Source organism: Homo sapiens, chromosome 14, assembly GCF_000001405.40.
Source record: "Homo sapiens chromosome 14, GRCh38.p14 Primary Assembly".
NCBI classification, from domain to species: domain Eukaryota; kingdom Metazoa; phylum Chordata; class Mammalia; order Primates; family Hominidae; genus Homo; species Homo sapiens.
Genome location: NC_000014.9, coordinates 28,578,111 through 28,602,951, shown reverse-complemented (window position 1 = coordinate 28,602,951; position 24,841 = coordinate 28,578,111). Strand labels below are relative to the sequence as shown.

The 24,841-nt window shown below is 34.8% G+C and overlaps 2 long non-coding RNA genes and 1 pseudogene across 3 annotated transcripts in view; 1 reads left to right on the top strand and 2 right to left on the bottom strand.

Moving 5' to 3' along the window:
* LINC02300 (long intergenic non-protein coding RNA 2300) overlaps positions 1–14,045 on the top strand; it is a 24,751-nt gene extending 10,706 nt beyond the window's left edge. The window contains exons 3-4 of one of the 2 annotated variants that reach the window (XR_943666.3): positions 10,387–10,596; positions 11,659–12,163. This is a non-coding gene — a long non-coding RNA (long intergenic non-protein coding RNA 2300). Of the gene's footprint in view, positions 1–10,386 lie in introns of both variants that reach the window. The other variant, XR_001750690.2, reaches the window with a different exon arrangement.
* The window catches only part of LOC107984684 (uncharacterized), a 28,000-nt gene extending 3,159 nt beyond the window's left edge, over positions 1–24,841 (bottom strand). The window contains exons 1-2 of the long non-coding RNA XR_001750691.2: positions 24,781–24,841; positions 3,027–3,235 (exon numbers count right to left, since the gene is read on the bottom strand). This is a non-coding gene — a long non-coding RNA (uncharacterized LOC107984684). The remainder of the gene's footprint in view (positions 1–3,026; positions 3,236–24,780) is intronic.
* On the bottom strand, positions 9,036–9,179 carry EIF4A1P12 (eukaryotic translation initiation factor 4A1 pseudogene 12; annotated as a pseudogene).

Below are 24,841 nucleotides of genomic sequence, written 5' to 3'. Positions count from 1 at the left end.
TTTTGATACTTTTGACATTTTGCAGGTCGGTCTGCTTACTGTTCTTCAGCTATCATTTTGTAATCAGGTATCTATAAAATGTCTCAAGCTCTTTCTCCTGCCTTTATACCTCCTTCAATTTTACCAAACTTTTAATGTCAGATCTACGAGAAAATCTGGTCTAGACTTAAGTTACTTAAGTCAAGGACTGTATCTCATTTATCTTTAGATTGCTGACACTTAGTGTAGTCTCTGGCATGTCAAAAGTACTTATGAATACTTGTAAAATAAATGAACAAATGGCCTTTCACAATGAAACCTTCCAGAATACACCCAATCAATACCGCTTTCCCACATTCCAAATATCATTCTATTAGCTTTCATATAGCCATTTGCTTTTTTGATTAGCTTTTTTATATAGCCATCTTGATATGGTTCGGCTGTGTCCCCACCCAAATTTCATCTTGAATTGTGGCTCCCATAATTCCCACGTGTCATGGGAGAGACTTGTGGAAGGTAATTGAATCATGGGGTTGGGTCTTTCTTGTGCTGTTCTTGTGATAGTGAATAAGTCTTACAAGATCTGATGGTTTTTTAAAGGGGAGTTGTCCTGCACATGCTCTTTCTTGCCTGCCCCCATGTAAGATGAGAATTTGCTCCTCATTTGCCTTTCACCGTGATTGTGAGGCCTCCCCAGCCATGTGGAACTGTGAGTCAATTAAACCTCTGTTCCTTTATATATAACCCAGTCTTGGATATATCTTTATTAGTAGCATAAAAGCTAAGTAATACACACGTAGACTTAGTTCTTTTTTTAATTTTTATTTTTAGAGTTGGGGTCTCACTCTGTTGCCCCAGTGGAGTATAGTGGCTGTCATAGCTCATTGCAGCCTCACACTCCTGTGCTCAAGCAATCCTCCTGCCTCAGCCTCTCAAGTCACTGGTGGCATGAGCAACCACACCTGGCTCTAAATTCTTTTTTTTTTTTTTTTTAACAGGAGTCTTATCTGTTGCCCAGGCTGGAGTGCAGTGGCACGATCTCGGCTCACTGCAAGCTCTGCCTCTGGGGTTCACGCCATTCTCCTGCCTCAGCCTCCTGAGTAGCTGGGATTATAGGGGCCTGCCACCACGCCTGGCTAATTTTTTGTATTTTTAGTAGAGATGGGTTTTCACCATGTTAGCCAGGATGGTCTCGATCTCCTGACCTCGTGATCTGCCCGCGTCGGACCCCCAAAGTGCTGGGATTACAGGCGTGAGCCACCATGCCCCCTTAAAGTCTTTTTTCATTTTAATGTTATTTTTCTTAACTAAATTGTAGGAACTTGAAGATTGATGATTATATATATCCCACAGTGCATACTTTACCCAGAGTAAGCACACAGTGTATAATTTTGGAAAATTTATTTTTTCATGGTGTTAGTGTTTTCATGTAGTACATATTTTACATACATATACACATGAAGAGTTCAGTATGTTCAGAACTTTGGAGACTCAATAATTCAGATTATTTATTTATGTTTTTAATGCTGCTAATTCATGAAAATTACCGAGGCATCTTAAAAATAAATAGGATATAAACAACATGATTTACTAAATCGAAGAGAAATCAAAACCAATGAAAAGAAGCTGGGATAGCTACTATTGGACACTGCAGAATGAATTACTGTGCTTGAGATTCAAATTTAGCTTTGGTTCAGAAAGTAAGGTAAAACAAGAAAAGTACTTAGGTATGTAGTTACTTTATTCTGAGAATATACCTTTAAAGATAAAATTAAGCACACATATTCTTCTGGGTATTGAATTTTTTAATCTGTTATTGAATTAGGAAGGTGTTTATTTCATGTTTATAAATAAGCAAGATATATAATTGCTCGAATAAACATTTCTTGTGTTGGTCCTCTAGGAAATTTGAGGGCTATTACAAATTTCTGAAAAACCTAATGAAAAGGCACTGCGGGAAAAAGGTGCCACTCTAAGCAACTTTGGAAAGGAATGGAAACTAAGACTGATGGCAAAAGCCCTATAAGCACTCTATGAGCTGATGAAGACTATATTCTAGTTCATAAAGTTGTTTTCCACGGGAATATGGATTAACTATTTTGAACCAACTATACATGAATCCTGGAACTGAAAAATTAAGTAATAGATGGCTGAAGGTGAGAGCCAGTTTTCTCACTTTTGAAGTGGGAGGTGACAAACAAACAAGGGGAGAAACATGGATGCATTACTTACCTATAAGGTAGTTAATGAATTAGAGTTGGAGATATCAGTATAAATTATGTTTAGCTCAATATAGATAAAAATAGATACATATAGAAATATTTATAAATATATGTGTGTATACTGGTTAGTATACACACATATATTCTTTTACTCTGAGAGGGCCAAGAAACAAAGATATTCCAGCAGCAACAGGCATATTTGGGATCTAGACCTTGTTTCTAAAACCGTCGTCCAATGAAAAGAACCATGGCTTCCTGAAGAAATGACTGGTTGTTGGGCAGGAAATATATAATATAATCCTGGAGCATCTTGTGGTGTCAAAATTTAAAGAAGTATCCAAAGACCCATATACATACACGATCACTCACCCAATAATGAGGGTATGGGGTATGTCAAAGGGACATTTGAACCTTCCGAAAGCTCTTAAAATGGCAAAATCCAGTACATGTCGAAGAATCATGAACATATTTAATCATATCCCAGAGTATCAAATAAATACTTATAAGCTCATCCTGATATAAACAAATGACTGGATAAATAGGTTCATGGAGAAGAATACACAAATATACTCTTGCATAGGAAATTCCAGATAATTTATGAAGATATTCTGCTCTCAAGGAGGTGGAACATAAGCTTACATTCCTTTCTTATGGATTGGATTAAATGGCTTCCTTCCAAAGAATGCAGTATGGAAAGGCAGAAAAAATACTAACTTTATAGTGGAAAAACCTGATAAACACTGCCTCTTCCAAGGGGTTCAGATCAAAACACAACCCTGATGTCATATGCATCCTTAATATGATGTGATAAGAATGGCACTTTACCTCTGTTGTCTTCTTCTTACTCTTAACTTCAGTCTAATCACGAGAAAAAATCAGACAAATCCCAAATGAGAAACATTTTACAAAATACCTGACCAGCACTCCTAAAAACTGCCAAGGTCATCTAAAATGAAGAAATTCTGAAAGTGTCAAAGCAGGAGGTGATGAAGGAGTCATGATGACTAAATACAGTGTTGCATCCTGATAGAATCCTGGAATAGAAGGAGAATATTAGGTAAAAAATAAGAAAATCTGAACAAAGTATGCACTTTAATTAATAACAGTATGTCAATATTGATGAGCTAATCATGACAAATGCAAGAGGCTAATGTAAGATTGGGTGTGGGGTATATGGGAACTCTCTGGGCTGTCTTTGCAACATTTTCTTAAATCCCAAGCTATTCTAAAGAAATGAGATTATTAAAAATAAAACTTAAAGCTTAAAATCAACTCATCTCTGAAATATGTGCAATCCTGAGTTATGATTCAGATATGTTAATTTATTATCTTGTTACATGTCATAAAATAGGGAACAATGAATATATATCATCGCCATAAGATACTCTCAAACACTAGATGCACTGTCTTAGTCCATTTGTGCTGCTGTAATAAAATAGCTGAAACTGGGTAATTTGCAAACAATAGAAATTTATTTCTCGCAGTTCTGGAGGCTAAGAAGTCCAAGATTCAGGATCAATTAAGGCCAGCAGGGTCAATGTCTGCCAAGGACTGCTTTCTGCTTTAAGATAGAGTCCTGTTGCTGTGTTCTCTGGAGGGGATGAACGTTGTGCTCTCACATGATGAAGGAATGGAAGAGAAGGATTTACCCTCTCAAGCTCTTTTAAAAGATTGTAATCCTATCAATGACAGTGGAGCCTAATCATTTTCTAAAGACCCCACCTCTTAATACTGTTTTGCTGGGGATTAGGTTTCAACCTCATTTTGGAGGGCAAACAGCTAAGCCATAGCATACACTGAATAATTTTTTGAGAAGGGCTGGATTTCAGGAAAGTTATAGTGAATTTCACCATTGAATTTTGAATTTTTCCAAAGACCTTATATCTTGCATTGACATATAAAGAATCTACAAAGAGGTAGACAGATTTGACTATGGAGACATTTTTAAAAAGTCAAAGAAGATCATAAAGTGATAATGCAAAGGGAAAATTAGGAGCACATATGAGAACATGTGAGATATGAGAACAATCAAGTTAATTTATGGAGCTGTCAAAACATTAATATGAAAATATGAAGGTTCTGTTAGAATATGAAAGAATATGATCAACCAATTTATAAGATAATAAACAGTCCAAAACTTAATTATATATTTAATTTTTCCAGGAATTTAATAAATATGGATGCAAAAACCACAGATACAATTATATGTATTCAAATAAATAATTAAAGATTAATACTCAGTAGTAATAAATACACATTACCATGTGTAAATTCTTACTGTTTTGGGATCTGAATTGGCATATTTCTAGAATAAAAGTTAAATAAATTAATAACTTTGGACTCCTAGGAATGCATTCATAGAGAATAATTAGAACAAAAATTTCAATTAGGCATGCTTAACAGAGCTTTATTTGTAAAAAGGAAAAAGTGGAAACAACCTAGATAATCAACGGTAAGGGGCTGGCTAAGTAAATTAGACTACATCCATGTGAAAGAATATTTTTTCAGTATGTAAAAATTATATTTAAAGCAGATCAATGCTAAGTAAAATATTTAAAGTAAAAATATTTAAAGCTAAATCAATGCTAAGTAAAAATTATAGTATACCAAATTGTATACAAAATATAATTCAATTGAAAATGTAAATCCAAATAGTAACTGGAAAGAAATACGTTTTAGTAGTGGTTATCTCAGAGAGGTGAAATTATGGTATGATTTTTGCACTTCTCGAATTTTTCTCTATTGGACATGTATCTATCCCTTTATTCATAATAAGAAAAGTATTATTTAAAGTAAACATACTAATATCCACATAACATGCATAAGCCTCTGTGTGAATAATGAGAAGACACATGGGAAGGGGCTGTGATAAGTCATAGAAGTCTGTAGGAGAAATATACTTAAATTTTACTTCTTACAAAATAGAGAGGCCTTTGCTTTGGAGTTTGGGTTAAAATCCAACATAGTAATGACCTCTAATATAGTGAGAGGGGGAGGATTTCTGTGTGTTTGTTCAATGGTAGGGCCATGACATACGGCCTTAAACTTTCTCCTCTGCTCCCAGGAGCAGATCAAAGTTTTGTGAAGGTTCAGGCTTATACAATTTTGGCAGTCCTTTATAAAAAGTAATGCAAAGTTATTAATGTAAAGTTTGGCATGGGGGTTTGGAAATGACACAAAAGAGTAAAGGGTCCTGTAACTGCAGTATTATTAGCCACGTGGTAAATATGTCTCTGTTGCTCCAAAAAGTGAGGGGAATTTTCCGGTAGGCTCCAAATTTAAACAGGTATCAGCTCTTCCCCTTCATCCCTGCACAACATTCTAGGTAACTCAAGGAGGTCTGTAAAACAGTTACAGCCACAGTTGTTTCCAGTACTATTAATACTTTCTAAGTATCATAATACTTTGCTTGCCATAGTTCTTAAGTGTTTAGAAGCACATACAAACCTTTGGGATGTTTAGCAGGTAGTCAAGAGAACTTCATTTCCTTTGTTGTTTGGCTCTTTGCTATGGGATTTATACTCTCCTAAAATCTCCTGATCCACTTTAATATGAGCTACACATCTCAGCACATAATGTATTTCCAAGAGTCATTTTCGTCTTCTGCTCACATGGTTTCTGGAAGACCTTTTGTGTGTAGACCCTTGCTTTCTGTATGAAAGGCAGGTCATTGAAGGAGTGAGAACCAGCTTTCTTCATTTTTCTAGATCGTCATTACTTTTCATTAAATGAAATCAGATGGATTTTTTTTTCAATCTGAACCAACTACCTTAAACTACTGAAGATGTCTTTAGGCTGCTTCTCAGTCTTACTTTTTAATTGTGTGTGAGTTTTCATGATTTACTGAATCTTTGTAGGCACTTTCATCGGAAGTTGTATAGGCTGCCTTAGATACTGCTAGTAGGACGTTGCTATGGATTCGTGGTTCTGCTAAATAGTTTTGTTGGTTATGGATGCTTTTCTCTACAATCTTTCCAAAATAGTTCATAAAGGAAATCTAATTCCAAATCCATCTCCTGCATTCTTGCCAAGTACTTTAAAAATGCAAAGTCTTTACATTCTTACCTATATTTCCCTTATTTGTGAGTTGACCCCAAATTCACCTTAGTACTCACTCTGCTTGGCATCTCTCCCAGACCTATTTTCCTTTTGCCAGTTTGGCTTGCAATAGATCTTAAAGTATAATCCACTCCAAGAATTACTTCATCAATCTTTGAAAGTTGCTCAGTCTGCACTTTTTCCTAAGCATGTCCCATCCTATATTTCCACTAGGCTGTGCTTTCAGTCCATCTTATGGGAAAAATCTATTGAATTAAATAGGAAATGTGATTTGGAAAGATTTAGGCCTCACTGAGGTGTATGTAAGCTCCTTACTCCATGCTACTTCGCTGCAGTGCTAAGAATCGAAAATTAGGAAAAAGCCATAGATATGTAAAAAATCCAGTGATAGTCTTTCATATATCCAAAGAAATTACTCTGAAAACTAATTTCGAAGACATTCTACCATGTACTTCTGCTGAGCTATCTCTTTAGCATCGAGCTAAAAGAAGACTAAACTATATATATTTTTCCTTTAAAAAAATCTTTTTAGGAAGCCATAGGTCTTCGGCCTCTTGCTGGAGACTCTTTAAACTTCTTTTCACTGAATATTTCAAAATATAAATGAGAGAAAAAAATTTAAACCTGTAACAAGCAACATCTTCTACCCCCATGGAAGAAAATTGAATTCTATGGCAAAATACATTGGTAGTTTGTGTTTATTGCAAAATATAAAGCCCCATGGAATTATCTGTAAGTTCACTGCAAACCATGAGAAAGCTGAATTGACTATCTAAAAAACAAATTGTATATTTGGGGATTGCAAGGTTCACAAGAGGAGGACAACTGTGAGAAAACTCATGAGGGATCAAGAGGCCACAGGAGACTGCAGAATGTTAAGAGAGAAAGTGGTCACACTGACTGTGACTGAGGGGATCTTATTTTGAAACATGAGTGTGTATAACCCATCTTAAGTTACCTTCTGTACTGTGCAGTGATTTACTCCACTACTGAAGCCTCAGGAAAGATGTACTAGACACAATGTTTTGTGATAAGTATTGTGGGGAATTTAAGAAGAAAAGTGACTATTTTCTGATAAAATCTTATGGAAATTTTCGGAAATATTGTAGAGTATGTGAAAAAATTATTAATATTTTAATGAACAGAAGCAAACTCAAAAGACTATCCCAATGGCAGAAGGTGGAATTATTTTTGCAACAAAGTAAATAGTGATTATATAGAATTATAATCCAAAGAATATGATAAATGCAGATAAATTCATACTTACATAAATAATAAATGAGTAAATGAAGGAGAAGAAACCATTCTTCCTTATAGGTGCATTCCAAAAAATATGTGTAGATGCTCATATCCAGGAGGTAGAGCTTAATTTCATGTCTTTTGAGTGTGAACTAGACTTAAGAAATTGCTTACGAAACATAGAGTATGGAAAGGGTAAACAATGACTTTATGTTGTAGAAACCTGGAAGACACCATGTGAACCAAGAGATCGAGGTTAATATTACCAGTGATAAATCATGTTGCTATCATCCACCCCTTGTTTTGATGTAAGGAGAAGAGTGTCACACCTCTGTGGTGTTCTTCCCGAACACCCTATCAGCCAGTTTAAGAATGAGAAAACAGACAAACTCAAATTGAGTGACATTCTCTCTGGCCAGAATTCTTCAAAAGTGCCAAGGTTGTGAAAGATAAGGAAAGACTGAGAAACTGTTAGAGAGTTGAGAAGGCATAGTGACATACATATGGCGAAGGACAATGTGATATACTGGACTAGATCCCGGAAGAGAGAAGGGACATTAATGAAAGCACTGGTATGAAGTCTGTCATTTAGTGGCATTGAGCCAGTGTTAATTTCTTCATTTTGACAAGTGTACCATAGTTACGTAAAATGTTAATATTAAAGAAAGCTGGGTAAAGTATATATGTCGATTCTCCATATTATCAAAAATAATAATCTGAAATTATTCCCCACTAAAAGTTTACTAAAATATTAAAGGTCTGTGTTACTTAGCATAAACTATTTTAGACTCACTGCAAATAAAAATTGTAATTCAACACTTCAAATTAACACACATTAACTAAATGATTGTGACAGGCAAGTCTTCATTTTAGGTTTCTGGAATACACGAGTGAAAAAATACAAAAAGTACAGCCCTCTTGGGGTGAGGCAGACAATAAACAATAAGTATAGTGAATAAATGCATTTTACTTTGTGTTGGAAGGTGATGAATACTATTGATGTAGTTTAGATCTGTGCCCCTACCTTAATCTCATATTGAATTGTATTTGTAATCCTCAATGTTAGAGGCAGGGCCTGGTGGGAGGTCATTGGATCACAGGGGTGGGTTCTCAAAAATGGCTTAGCACCAACACCTTGATGCTGTCCTCATGAAAGCCAGTGAGTTCCTGCAAGATCTGTTTGTTTAAAAGTGTGTAGCATCCCTCCACTTCCTCTTGCTCTGACTATGTGAGATGCCTGTTCCCCCTTTGCCTTCCAACGTGATTGTAAGTTTCCTGAGGCTTCTCCAGAAGCCAAGGAAATGCCCCATGCTTCCTGTACAGCCTGCAGAACCATGAGCCAATTAAGCCTCTTTTCTTTATAAATTATTTATAAATAATTTTTTTTTGCCTCAAAAAGTGACATTTATTGAAAGACAAAGAAATGATAAGATGTTCATCCCTTGGCTTCCTTCTCTCCCCCTCATGCTGTACCTCAACCCACCCCAAGATTCACTCTGGATGTGGCTAGGTAGCAGGACAGCCCCCAGCCCCTCAGATGAGATCAGCAACATTGAGGGGCATCTCCTCAATGGAGGCGTTGTAGAAGGTCTCGATATCTTGAAGAGTCCTCTTGTCTTCTTCTGTCACCATGTTAATAGCCACACCCTTATGGCCAAACCGGCCACCTTGACCACCTTTAAAACTGCGATTAACACAAGAAAATTGTCTAAAATAAAATTTTGGATTTGATTCAGATAAAATACTCTAAAACCCCCAGTCAAGGAGAGAGAGAAATGTAATATTTGTACATCTGTTCAATATTTAGTGTATCAGATGTAATTGTATTAAAAATATAATTTACGAGAGATTTCTGAGTAATTCTCTAATTCTTGCCAAAATTAGCTGTTGGGATCAGACATTAAAATGAACTCACTTTTCAGATTGAAACCTCAAAATTAACACTGAGACATTATATTAATTATGAATATAAAAGTTGAGGCTGGGCGCGGTGGCTCACGCCTGTGGTCCCAGCACTTTGGGAGGCCGAGGTGGGCGGATCATGAGGTCAGGAGATCGAGACCATCCTGGCTGACGTGGTGAAACCCTGTCTCTATTAAAAATACAAAAACAAAAAAACAAAAAACAAAAAACAGCCAGGCGTGGTGGCAGCCGCCTGTAGTCCCAGCTACTGGGCAGGCTGAGGCAGGAGAGTGGTGTGAACCCAGGAGGCGGAGCTTGCAGTGAACAGAGTTAGCCCCACTGCACGCCAGCCTGGGCGACAGAGCAGGACTCCATCTCAAAAAAAAAAAAAAAAAAAAAAACCAAAAAAAGAAATATAAAAGTTGAAAACTATTTGGTAGATTCAAAAATTAGCAAGAAGTAAACAAATATAAAGTTCTTTTCTCTTTTTTAAAGTAATTTTGGGGTCAGCAAAACATAAGTTCTGTAGTGGTTTGATAGAACAATTTCACCTTAAAATTTCAATAGTAACAGATAATACCTTGGTTGACAAGTAAGAAAAATTTTAAATAAAATCTCAAGTTATGTGCTGTTGCCCTATCAATAACATTATATTGTTCTCTCATTTTTTTCTTTGCCTTTAATAATTGGTATCAAATTTATTGTCTGGATACTAAATACGTTGTTAGTGTATTAATGACAAATTCTTTCCCAAGTGATGATATTATATACACAGTAATCCAGTGCAATTATGACTTAAATATTGAACTAGGTGTTGTAGAGATCATATATAGGAATGGGATATGAATTAACAGAAACTTATTTTGAATATTCAATGTTATAGAAATGTCTATGCTTATTGACATTTTTGGTAAGAATTTTTGTTAATAAAATGCATTTGGGTTGCTACTTAACTGATTGTGAATTAACATTATTTGTGTTATAGAATGAATTGGAAAAGCAAATACTTCTGTGTTCTACTGTCAAATGTGATGCATTCAAATAAGGGATGTTATGACAGAAAAAACAAATCTTCCTCAACTTGTCCACATCAGTTCCATTCCCTCATTTATAGGGAAGCTTGAGGAATGTTTAGTGAAATGCTGGCAAATAGACTTCAAGAGAAAGTCTAATTAGTAATGTTTTTTCTTCTAAGGTAAGTAGAGAAAAAAAGGTAATTATGGAAACCCCAAGTTTCGTTCTCAAATTTAAGCCCAACTTAAATATAGTTTAAGGTCTTTCTTCCTTTAAACTCACCACTCTTACTGCTTTTTGATTTTGTGGTGGTTCATCCATATTAATGTACCTAATGACAGGCACTCTGAAAAGGTGAGAATGAATTCTTTTCCTTTGACATATCAGCTGAGGATGATGTTACAAAGCATGTCTTTCAATGTGTATCTGCATGGACTCCGGGTCTGAGAGAATGATATATACTTCTACTTTATGCCTGCAAGATTCAAAAGGCCTTTTCAAATATTCATGTCTTTTTCTTTTTCCTTTTTATTCTCTGCTGGTATGTGTTATGTGATGAGAAGAATGTCAGAGTCTCTGGAGTCTTATTTTTAAGTTTTAGGCTTGCCTGAGGGGGGAAATATATTGGAAATTTGCTGGTCAAGCTGTTCACATTTTCTCATAACATGTCTAATAATTGCAATGCAGTTTGTTCAAATAATTTAGTCAGGATTTGCATACTTAGCATGATTGACTCTGAAGTGAGTTATTGGGCAGTGCCTGGCATTCAATCAGTAACACCTGAGGAGAACATTGCCTTTGTGTTGCAACCAAGAAGAAGTTAAAAAAGGCACAGAGATGAGGGATCTTTTTTTTATAAGGGGAATTCTGATCATTCTTCTCTGATCTTGTTTTCAACTTGTGTCTTAATTTCTTCATATTTGATGCCTCAAGTTAATAGGATTTGTATTGCCATAGGCACTATTGCCATTTCATATGCTGTATTAGGGAAGCGGAGTTGCTGATTAGAAAAGTGATAATGCAACTTCCTCTTCTTTCTAAATTAACCTTGGAGTGGAAGGGAAATGCATTCATGATTTTGTTATTATACTCACTAGTATTGGCGGTTGTTTGTCCTTTTTATTTTCTGTGGTTTTGAAAACTTAACATATACATCCATGGAGTATATTACTTAGTGTCTTTTTCTTCCATCACATTTCTGGACTAACTTTTGAAAAAATATTTTGCTTTTAATTTTCATCAGCTTCTGAGGCTCATCTATCTCCAAATCAACCAGGAAAAAAAAGTAGAAGAAAATCACCAGCTGTTGGGAAAGTTATTTAGAGGATGTTAGCCAGATTAATCTTTACATAATAATTATGAATTAGTAACGTTTCTCCTCCATAAAATCCACATATTTAGTGAGCTTCAGAGAACATAGAAGAGGCAAGAGAAAATGACAGTGAAGTGATGTATTAGCCATGGCTCTCTAGAGGGACAAGACTAATAAGATAGACATATATATGAAAGGGAGTTTATTAAGGAGTATTGACTGACACAGTCACAAGGTGAAGTCCCACAATAGGCCGTCTGCCATCTGAGGACCAAGGAAGCCAGCCCAAGTCCCCAAACCTCAAAAGTAGGAAAACCAACAGTGCAGCCTTCAGCCTGTGGCCAAAGGCCCGGGAGACCCTGGTAAACCACTGTATAGGTCCAAGAGTCCAAAAGCTGAAGAACCTGGAGTCCGATATTCAAGGGCAGGAAGCATCCAGCATGGGAGAAAGATGAAGGCCGGAAGACTCAGCCAGTCTAGTCCTTCCACGTTCTGTCTGCTTTATTCTAGCTATTCTGGCAGCTGATTAGAGATCGTGCCCACCCAGTTTGAGGGTGGGTCTGCCTCTCCCAGTCCACTGACTCAAATGTTAATCTCCTTTGGCAACACCCTCAAAGACACACCCAGGGACAATACTTTGCATTCTTCAATCCAATTAAGTTGACAGTATTAACCATCACAAGTGCTTCATCATGTTATAATAAAACAGAATTATGGCTTCAAGGACCCGCAGTCTTTAAAACTACCCACACAAAAGATAAAAGGGAACTAAAATTATAATTTCCCAAGGATTAACAGTATAAGCTTCATTCTAAGTGAATTAAATAATTTGTCAATTTCCTCTTCATACTGAAAGTAACCATACTAGGATATAACATGTGTTGGAAAAGTGATTACAAATGACTCAAATCAGTGCCCTAAAATTTCAAACAAATTCCCACTATTGATACATAAGGAATCCACATTGGGATTAGCAGTATTATTCACTTATGCAAAAATATCTTTTGACATGAGGTGAAAACATAACCTCTGAACACAGTCATTCTTTTAGGTTTTCAGTGGGAATTGTGCCTAAGTGATTAGGAAAGGATATGGTCCAATAAATAAACTGAAAATTTTGTAACAAGTGGTAGAGTAATACATATTAATTCTGAACAGATTGACACTGTAATTTGGGATAAAAACCATAATGATTACAGAACACAGTCAGTGTAAGTCTGATGGACTAGAACAGATGTGTCCACCTGTTTAGGGTCCAGCTCTGCTTCACTTGGGCTGCATAACACTAGCTATTTGGAAAGGCATACAGGTTAGGAAACAGAAAATATATTGGATTCTGGATCAATTTTTGTTCTTCTATGTAACAATTAACGTCAAAAAGACAGAGCACACCAAAGGCTAAAATAAAAGAAAGTCTAGAGGAGATGTAAACATTATTACATGCCTTTCATTGGAGATAATTTGGAAACCTTCATAAAGAGATTTTCAAGGTCAGGAGTGTGTAATAGATTCAAACTGTTTTTGTTTTTCTAACATCAACAAATCTTGTATAAATTAACTCAATCGGAGTTTTTTTAAAATGCTAAACTGAAGAAAGATGGAAAGAGACTCCAATATTATAATGTTCATGCCTAGGGGCACTCCATATATCCAATACCAAGTAAGACTAGGCTTTTGTGAATATTTATCACTTGAAATCATGGGGAAAATACTTTTTTCTTGACAGAATATGCCCCAGGTTTAAAGATTATACTGTACATCATTAAGGGGTAATTTTATTTTTTCTTAAGGTAGAAGGAGATATCAGTACTATAATAATAAATCTGCCTCTTTGTTATAAGAAAAGTTTAATGTGTGGTCATAAACATTGTTTGTTTTAAAGACAGATTGTTATAGATGTATTATTAAAAATATCCATCCTGTCTGTACTCTTTATACTTTCTTACTTAAATTTATTAACAAAATTGGGTATATGTGTGCCATTCTTTCTCTGTTGTCTCTGCCATCCTCTGGATATTTAGCCAATCCTTAACCTAAAAAGCCTTTGTCATTATAAGGGTAAAACATCATTTTGTTATATCTTAATATAGAGAAACCAGTCTTCTAGCTCATTTATAATCTTCAAATGTGTTTGTTGGAGATGTTTTGTATTCGTTAATTTATTTGATTTTTTGTATAATAATTTCCCTCCAAATAAGGTTTTCAAATTTCATAATGAGAAGAACACAGGTTAGTTTAGAGTACTGTAGATATATTCTTGTCAAAGATATCAACTGGGTAAAATGCTATCGGAAACATCCAAGAAGTTTAAAAAGTTTTGTTGGCCAGGTGTGGTGGCTCATGCCTGTAATTCCAGCACTTTGGGAGGCCGAGGTGGGCAGATAATTTGAAGTCAGAAGTGTCAGACCAGCCTGGCCAACATGGCGAAACCCCTTCTCTACTAAAAATACAAACATTAGCTGGGTGCAGTGGCAGGTGCCTGTAATCCCAGCTACTTGGTAAGCTGAGGCAGGAGAATTGCTTGAACCTGGGAGGCAGAGGTTGCAGTGAGCTGAGATCACGCCACTGCACTCCGGCCTGGGTGACAAGAGTGAAACTCTGTCTCAAAATAAATAAACAAACAAACAAATAAAATAAATAGATAAATAAATAAATAAATAAATAAAATTTTGTCTTCCTTGCTTGCCATTTCTTATAATCAGAAAAACTAGAGAAACATCTTTCAACATAGTCTATATGCAGTACCAGATTTGACAGAATTTGTATTATCCAAAAACTCTAGTGGGTAAATGGCATTATAGTTTATAATGAGAATATTTTGTCATACTCTTTGCACTCAAGGAAGTGTAAAAATTTAACAGATATACAAAAAGGAAGAGAAAACTAATATAAATAGATGAGAGATCTGCAAGTGTCCCATCCATTTAGAGGGCCAAAACAGTGATTGATTTCAGGGCAATTATGTATTTGCTATAAATTCCTGTTTTGAGGTCAAAAAATTAAAAGTGTTCAGAAAAATTGATGTAGTTTATGCAATTCTGGACATAGTACATTTTATCTTATCAGTGTTATTTTATAATATTCAGAGTAGATATATTAAAAATAATAAAATCATGACCTAATGACTACATTACTGTGTAATTACAGATGCAACATATTATAGTGGATGACTAAAGACTTTTTAGATTCTGTAGTTGTTTAAATTCAGTAGTTTCAAATTCTGACTGTGTATCAGCTGGGAAACTTTTAAACAATACTGATGTCTTGGTGCCTAGCTCCCGTATCCCCACCCTCCCACTCATGGATTGTCATACAATTGACCTGAGGTGGGGCCCAGGCATTAATTTTTTTTTTGAACTTTTATTTTAAGTTCATGGGTACATGTACAGTTTCTTTACCTAGTTAAGCTTATGTCATGTGCATCCAACAAAGGTCTAATATCCAGCATCTGTAAGGAACTTAAACACATTTTCAAGAAAAAACAAACAGCCCCATAAAAAAGTGGGCAAAGACTTGAACAGGCATTGATTTTCTTTCTTTTTTTTTTTTATTATACTTTAAGTTCTAGGGTACATGTGCACAACGTGCAGGTTTGTTACATAGGTATACATGCGCCATGTTGGTTTGCTGCACCCATCAACTCGTCATTTACATTAGGTATTTCTCCTAATGCTATCCCTCCCCTAGCCCCCCACCCCACGACAGGCCCCCGGTGTGTGATGTTTGCTGCCCTGTGTCCAAGTGTTCTCATTCTTCAGTTCCCACCTATGAGTGATAACATGCAGTGTTTGGTTTTCTGTCCTTGTGATAGTTTGCTGAGAATGATGGTTTTCAGCTTCATCCATGTCCCTGTAAAGGACATGGACTCATCCTTTTTTATGGCTGCATAGTATTCCATGGTGTATATGTGAAATATTTTCTTTATCCAGTTTATCATTGATGGGCATTTGGGTTGGTTCCAAGTCTTTGCTATTGTGAATAGTGCCACAATAAATATACGTGTGCATGTGTCTTTATAGTAGCAAGATTTATAATCCTTTGGGTATATACCCAGTAATGGGATGGCTGGGTCAAATGGTATTTCTAGTTCTAGATCCTTGAGGAATCGCCACACTGTGGTTGAACTAATTTACACTCCCATCAACAGTGTAAAAGTGTTCCTATTTCTCCACATCCTCTCCAGCACCTGTTGTTTCCTGACTTTTTAATGATCACCATTCTAACTGGTGTGAGATGGTATCTCACTGTGGTTTTGATTTGCATTTCTCTGATGGCCAGTGATGATGAGCATTTTTTCATGTGTCTGTGGGCTGCATAAATGTCTTCTTTTGAGAAATGTCTGTTCATATCCTTTGCCCACTTTTTGATGGGGTTGTTTGCCTTTTTTGTAAATTTGTTTAAGTTCTTTGTAGATTCTGGATATTAGCCCTTTGTCAGATGGGTAGACTGCAAAAATTTTCTCCCATTCTGTAGGTGAACAGGCATTGATTTTCTAAGAGCTCTTTTGGTCATTACATTGTGAAGCCAGGGTTGAGAAATAATTATCTTCATTTTTCTGTTCCTAAATTGGGTTAACTGGAGCCATTTCTCCTTATATCGATGAGATCTTATGAGAAACAGTTAATAAAATATCTTCACATACATTTGTGTAACATTTTATGGTTGTCAAAAAGAGTTTCAAATCTATTGGAGGTACACTAGGTAATTAAAGACTACAACAGAGGTAAATACGTTTTTTGGAAAGATCACTTGTCTAAATCTTGGTGGTGTCAGTGAATACTTCCTGGGGAAAGAGACTACAAATCTTTGGCATGAAATGCAAATTGGGGTTCAAGGTTAATCTGTGCAGAAACGCATGTCAGTATTCCATTCCTTTTTATGGTCAAATAATATTCCATGGTATGAATAATCCACAAGAATTTAGTCACAGAAAACCACATATTATATGATTCCACTTATATGAAATATCTGGAAGAGACAAATCTATAGAGACAGAAAGTTGATTAACAGTTGCATAGAACTGGGCTGTAAGGGGTATGGGGAGATTGGTAAGTAACAGCTAATGAGTACAGAGTTTCACTTTGTAGTGATTACGAAGTTCTAAAAGTGATGGTTGAACTTATCTGTAAATATACTAAAAACCATTGAATTATGCAGTTTAAATGGGCAAATTATACATCCTGTGAAATATATCTCAATAAAGTTGTTCTGAAAAACAAGTAGGCTTGCAAGACCAGATGAGTGAGAGCACTGTATCTGGAGGGAGAAATCTCAGAAAGCAAGGAGAGTTTAGAAACTGGTAAGTAGCTCCAGATGGCTGGCACATAGGGTTAGAGAAGGGTCCCAGAGGTGGTTAGAAGTGAAGCTAAATAAAACAAATGGGTCTGATCATGAAAGATATGTTTAGCCTTTAAATTTTTAAAAGTTGTGGTAAAATATATACAACATTTATCGTCTTAACCATTTTTAGTGGGTAGTTCAGTAGTGTTAAATATATTCACATTATCGTGCAATCCAATATCTGGAACTGTTTTATCTCACAATACTGAAACTCTATGTCTGTTAAATAACAATTCCCCATCTCCTCCTGCCCTAGCCCCAGGGAAGTATGGTGACTATATATCATCAAATAAAAAATGTCAACAAAGAGACAGAAATTGTTAGAAAGAACCAAGTGAAAGTTTTGAAATTGAAAAGTGAAATAAGAGTGATTAGAAAATCACTAGATGACCTCAATAGTAGGTTTTAGCATTAAAGAAATAATTAGTGAATTTGAGGATAAATGATTAGAAATGAGGCCATGTGAGTAGGAGAGAGAAAAAACAATGAAAACTTGTTCACAGAGACACAATCATTCTACCATAAAGACATATGCACACGTATGTTCATGACAGCACTATTCACCATAGAAAAGACAGAGAATCAACCTAAATGCCCATCAGTGGTAGATTGGATAAAGAAAAGGTAGTACATATACAGCATGGTATAATATGCAGCCAAAGAAATGAATGAGATCATGTCCTTTGCAGCAACATGAAGGAGCTAGAGGTCATTATTCCAAGTGAACTAACATAGGAACAGTAAACCAAATGCTGCATGTTCTCACTTGTAATTGCAAGCTAAACACTGAGTACATATGGACACAAAGAAGGGAACAACAGACAGTGGGGCCTTCTTGAGGGTGGATGCTGGGAGAAAGGTGAGGATCGAAAAACTACCTATCAATCAGGTTACTATGCTCATCACTTGGGTAATGATCTGTACAGCAAACCCTTGTGATGCACAATTGACCTGTATAACAAACCTGCACATGTACTCCTGAACCTAAAATAGAAGTTAAAAAATAAAGAAGAAATTTGCAAAAAACCCACCAGAGACTCAGAGAAATGTGGGATGGACCATTAAGTCCATCCATATATGCGTAATGAGAGTACCAAAAGAGAGAGCATGAAAGGGACAGAAGAAAACATTCTATGAAAAAAATGGCTAAAAACTTCCTGAATGTGAGGAAAACTAGTAATTTACATATCCAAGAAGCTAAATAACTCCAAGCAGAATAAATGCAAAAAACAAAATCATAACTATATACACTGCAGCCAAAATATTAAAAGTCAAAAAGAAAGAGAATATCTTTAAAGCTCTAAGAGAAAAACAACTCATCATGTACAGGAAAATCACAATAAGATTAATAGTAAATTCTTCTGAAAATAATAGAGGCCAGAGGCAATGAGATGACAAAGTGATGAAGTTAAAACAAAATAAAAACAAACAACCAGTAAGATGAAGCTTATATCAGAAAACCTATTTTTCAAAAATGAAGATAAAGACATTTCAAAAATAAAAAAGAGAAAGAAACAGAGAATTTATTGCTAGAAGACATGCCTTACAGAAATGCAAATGGAAATTTATCATACTGAAAATAAAGATGTTAGACAATAATTTGAGTCCACATGTAAAAACATAATTAACATAAAGGTAATATAAAGATAATTACAAAAGGCAACATAATTGCATATTTCCTCTTCAATTGTCTCTTGATTAAAAATATTAAGAGAACTAAAACAAGTAAATATATCAATATAGTAACTTGAAAACTTTCCACAAAGAAAAACCCAGGCCCAGATGGCTTCAATGTGAATCTACCAAACATTCAGAGATCAGTATCTTTCCTGTACTCTTCCAAAATATGCAGGAGGGAACATTTCTTAACTCAGTCTAAATGTCACGTTTATTCTAATACCAAAACCAAACACATTACAGAAAACTACAGATCAATAAACCAGCTGAATATTAGGATATTAATATATAAAATAACTCCTCAACAAAATACTGTGGATCTGAATCCTGCAACTTATAAAAAGCGTGCATACAGGCTGGGTGTAGTGGCTAACGCCTGTAATCCCAGCACTTTAGGAAGCTGAGGTGGGAGGATTGTTTGAGCACAGTAGTTTGAGACCAGCTTGGACAACATAGTGATACCCTGTCTCTACAAAAAAATTTAATTTCTAGGTGTGGTGGCACATTTCTGTGATTCCAGCCACTCAGGAGGTGGAAGGATAACTTGAGTTTGGAAAGTCTCAGGCTGCGGTGATCTGTGATCTCACCACTGTGCTCCAGCCTGTGTGACAAAGCGAGACTCTGTCTCAGAAAAAAAGAAAAAAGTTATACCACATACAACATGACCAAGTGGGATTTATCTTAGAAATGCAAGGTTTGTTTAATATCTGAAAATCAATTAGTATCATAAACCATATTAATAGAAGAAAGGATAAACTTCATATCATCATCTCAATATAGGCAGCAAACATTAAAAAATACAATACCATTTCATGATAAAAACACCCAACAAACTAGGAATAGAAAACTACCTCCTCAACTTGGTGTAGGCCATTCACAAGAAACCCACGGATAACCTTATATTTGATAGTGGAAGGCTGAATGCTTTACTTCTAAGGTCAGGAGCAAGGCAAGGATATCTGCTCTTGCCACTTGTGTTTAACATTGTGCTGGAGATCCCAGATAGGATAATTAGGCAAGATAAAGAAACAAAGTTCATCCAGATCATGAAGGAAGAAATAGAACTATCTTTAATGGCAGATTTAATGGTCTTGTATGTTTCCTCGTATCCTAAGAAACACATATACTCACACATACAACTATTGGAACTAATGAATGAGTTCAGTAAGGGTGCAGAACATTAGATCAATACATAAAAATCAATTGCTTTTAATATATTACCAATAAACATTGTAAAAATAACATTAAGAAAATAATTCCATTTATAATGCATCAAAAATAATATTTAGTTATACATTTAATAGAAGTGTAAACTTATACACTGAAAACCATAAAACCTAATCTCACAGAATTAAAAAAGATCTACAAAAATGAAAGAACATCTTGTGCTCATGGATTGGAAGAGTTAATACTGTTAAGATGTCAGTACTCTAAATTGAACTATAGACAATGCAGTGTCTATCAAAACTCCAGCTGGCTTTTTTACAGAAATTAATTTTCAAATCTGTATCTGATCAGAGATTTCTATTCAGAAGCCATAAAGAATGCCTATGACCGAACGATAAAAACAATTTTAAATGAGCAAAGAATTTGAATATGCATTTCTTCAAAAAAGATATACAAATGGCCAATAAGCAAAAATAATAATAATGATAATAAAGATGTTGAGCATCATTTATCACTTTTCAGATAAATAAAAATCAAAACTACCACTTCACATCCACTAAAATGGCTATGATCAAGAAAACAGATAATAATCATTGTCAAGGATGTGGAGAAATTGGACCCTAATGCATTGCTGGTGAAAATGTAAGTTGGCGTAGCCATTTTGGAAAACAGCTTAGTTAAACAGTCAGAAGATTAAACATGAAGATACCTTATTACCAAGCATTTCCATTTCTACTAAGAGAAGTAAAAACATATACCCACAAAACACTTCTACACAAATGTTCATAGTAGGTTTAATCATAATAATTGAAAGATAGAAGTAACTGTTCAAATATAACATGTTGCATAACACACAGTTGAATACTATTTGGCAATAAAAAATGAAGTACCAATGCATGCTACAACATGGATGAACCTTGACAACCTTGAGAAATGGGAGGTGATAACTAATGGGTATGTTTTTCTTTTCTTTTTTTTTTTTAAGGAGGAACTAAAATATTCTAAAATGAGATTGTGATAATAGTTACACAACCTTGTAAATACACTAAAAATACTGAATTAGATATTTTAAATTGGTTAATTGTATATGTGAATTATATTTCAAGCTGTGAAAAAGATATGAACTGTTTAAGTAAACAAAATAACAATATATTATTATAATATGTATGTAAATATAATGGATGAAAATAATAACAAAAGCTAGAAGGAGATATATTACTGTAAAGTTCTTATACTATTAGTCAACAAAGGATCTAAATTGAATTATAAAAAATACTAAGATAATCCAAAAGTTGTCTGAAAAATAGGAAAAAGAATATATGGGAAAAAGGAGAACAAATAGTAGAGGTACCTTTATTTCAAGGTTGACTATAAAGCTTTGTCATCAAGAGTGTATGCTGTTGACATTAATATAGAGAAATACATCAATGGAACTGAATAGATAACTTAGACATATACAAACATGTACAATTGATTTTTAGCAAAAGTGAAAAATAATTCTGTGGAGAAATGATAGTCTTAAAGAACAAGTGATTTGGCAACAACTGGATATAAACATTCATGCAATGCACTTTGATTGATGTCTTGCGGCATACGCAAAAGTAAGCTCAAAATGTATTACAGACCTAGAAATAAGTCTGAATGCAACAAAACTTGTAGAAGGAATCACAGGAGAAAAATTTTGTGACCTTGTATAAGGTGAAAATTTCTGAGACACAACAGCCAAAGGCACAATCACAAAAGGAAAAATTAACAAATTTGGCTCTATCAAAATGTAAAAGCTTGTGCTATTTGGAAGATACTGTGAGGAGAATGAAAAACAAGCTACAATTCACAATAGCAAAGGCATGGAATCAACCCAGGTGCCCACCAATGGGAAACTGGATACAGAAAATGTGGTACATATGCACCGTGGAGTACTAAGCAGCCATAAAAAGAACAAAATCATGTTCTTTGCAGCAACATGGATGCTGCTGGAAACCATTATCCTAAGTGGACTAACACAGAAACAGAACTCCAGATACCAAATGTTGTCACTTACAAGTGGGAGCTAAACATTGAGTAGACATGGTCATACAAATGGGAACAAGAGACAATAGACATTGGGAAATACAGGAGAGAGGACAGAGGGAACAGGTTAAGGGTTGAAAAAAAGTACCTATTGGGTACTATGCTCATTACTTGGGTGACAGACTCATTCATACTCTAAACCTCAGCATCATGCAATATACCTATATAAACAACCTGCACATGTACCCCTGATACTAAAATAAAGTTTGACGAAAGGAAAGAAAACAAAAAGGACAAGCTATGGACTGGGAGAAAATATTTGAAAAATATGTGTCTAATAGAGTATATAAATATCTGTCTAATAGAATATATATAAATAGAATAAGATATGTCTAATAGAATATATAAAGATCTGTCAAAACTCAATACAAAACAACTGAATAAAATGGGCAAAATATATGACCATGCTTGTCATCAAAGATGATGATATAGAGATGGCAATAAGCAAAAAAAGAGATGCTCAATATCATTTAGTCATTAGAGAAATGCAAATCAAAATCAAGATGAGATACCACTACATAATTATTGATAGGCTATAATTACAAAGATTGATCATATCGAATGTTGGCAAGGATGTGGAGGAAGGGGCATTTCTTACACTGCTGGTTGCAAAAAAAAAAATGGTACAACCACTTTGGCAATGTCTTAAGATGTTAAACATCTTCACAATGTGCTTATTTCACGTTGCATGCCTGTATCAGAAAAATCTTAGTTACACCATAAATATATACTCCTACTATATACCCACAAAATTTTTTTTAAAAAGTTAAACATGTACCTAACATGTGATGCAGGCTTTTTATTCCTAGTCATTTGTCATTAGGATGTGAAAGCCTATGTTCACGAAAAAACATATATGAATATTCATAAAATTTTAAAAACAGTTTATTTTTAATTGCTATTTTTAATAGGTAAAGTTGAAAAGTCCTTCAACATATGAACTGATAAACAAATGGTAATATATCTATACAATGGAATAGTACTCAATAATAAAGAGAAATAAGCCATTGGTACAAAATGATTTTGCCCAGTGAAAAAAGTAAGAAAAAAGCCAGAAAAAAGCAATAATCAGAATATGCTCATCTAACAGCAATGTTACACTCAAGATTTTACAGATGTATGTGAAATATTAGTTGAGAGTGACTAAACCCACGTAATATAAATATCTATTGCCATTTATTTTCTTAAATTGTATTAACTAATATTAAAAGTTAATTTATTTCTATAAAACCCCTGGAAGATAACTTAGGAAATACCATTCTGGACATAGGACTTGGGGGCAAAGATTTCATGATGAAAATGCCAAAATCAGTTGCAACAAAAACAAAAATTGAAAAATGGGACCTAATTAAACTAAATAGCTTTTGCACAGCAAAAAAACAAACAAACAAAAAAACTATCAACAGAGTAAGCAGACAACCTACAGATTGGAAGAAAATATTTGCAAACGATGCATCCAACAAAGGTTTAATATCCGGAATCAATAACAAACAGAAACAAATTAACAAGCAAAAAACAACCCCTTTAAGAAATGGGCAAAAAACACGAACTGATACTTTTCAAAAGAAGACATACATGCAGCCAACAAGCATATGAAGAAATGCTTAATGTCACTAATCATTAGAGAAATGCAAATCAAAACCACAGTGAGATACCATCTCACACCAGTCAGAATGGCTATAATAAAAAGTTAAAAATAACAGATACTGGTGAGGTTTCAGAGAAAAGGGAATGCTTGTACACTGATGGTGGGAATGTACATTAGTTTAGCCATTGTGGAAAGCAGTTAGGAGATTTCTCAAATAACTTAGAACCAGCAGTCCCATTACTGGGTACACATACCCAAAGGAATATAAAACATTCTACCATAAAGATACATGCATGCATATGTTCATTGCAGCACTATTCATGATAGCAAAGATGTGGAATCAACCTAATTTAGCCCAGCAATGGTAGACCGGATAAAATAAATGTAGTAAATGTACACTATGGAATACTACACCACCGTAAAAGAAGAAAATCATGTCCGTTGCATCAACATGGATGGCGCTGCAGGCCATTATCCTAAGCAAACTAACACAGGGACAGTAAACCAAATACTGCACTTTCTGACTTATAAGTTGGATCTAAATATTGTGTACATATGGACACAAAGAAAGTAAAAGACACTGGGGAGGGTGGGAAAAGGGTAAGGATTGAAAAGCTACCTGTCAGGTACTATGCTTATTACCTGGGTGATGAAACTATTTGTATACCAAACCCCCGTGACACACAATTCACCCACATGAATACCTGCATATGTACCCCTGAACCTAAACTAAAATTTAAACAAGAAATATGATCTGCTGGATTTCTACTTTCACGATGTTAGCTTCATTTTTAGGCATAAAACTTTTTGTTATAAATACTTTTTCTGGTGTTTGAAAATAATGTATATGCTCTGTTTATTTCCCATAAATGCTACGCATTTGTTCATCTAGTTAACTCACCAAATTTTCTAAAAAAGTTATTTAACATTCAGAAAAAGTTAATTTAGTTTTTTGTTCTTTGCATGTACACAAAAAACATGAACATTGAAAATATTGAAATATTTTAGAGCAAAGTTTTTAGAAAATATATAAAGTATATTAGATAGAACTTTTGTTGTCAGTAACAGAAATGAATCAAATCAAGCAAAACAATTTATATTCATATTTCAGAAGTTATAGGACCAAAATTGAAAGGAAGAAATGGCTGGGGACAGAACAAAAATACAAACTACAATTCTCATGAAAAAAGTATTTACAGTAATAGAATTACCACAATTCCTGACGATTCTGTGCACCTGGATACTCACGTTGCCTGGTTCTTTGGCAATCTT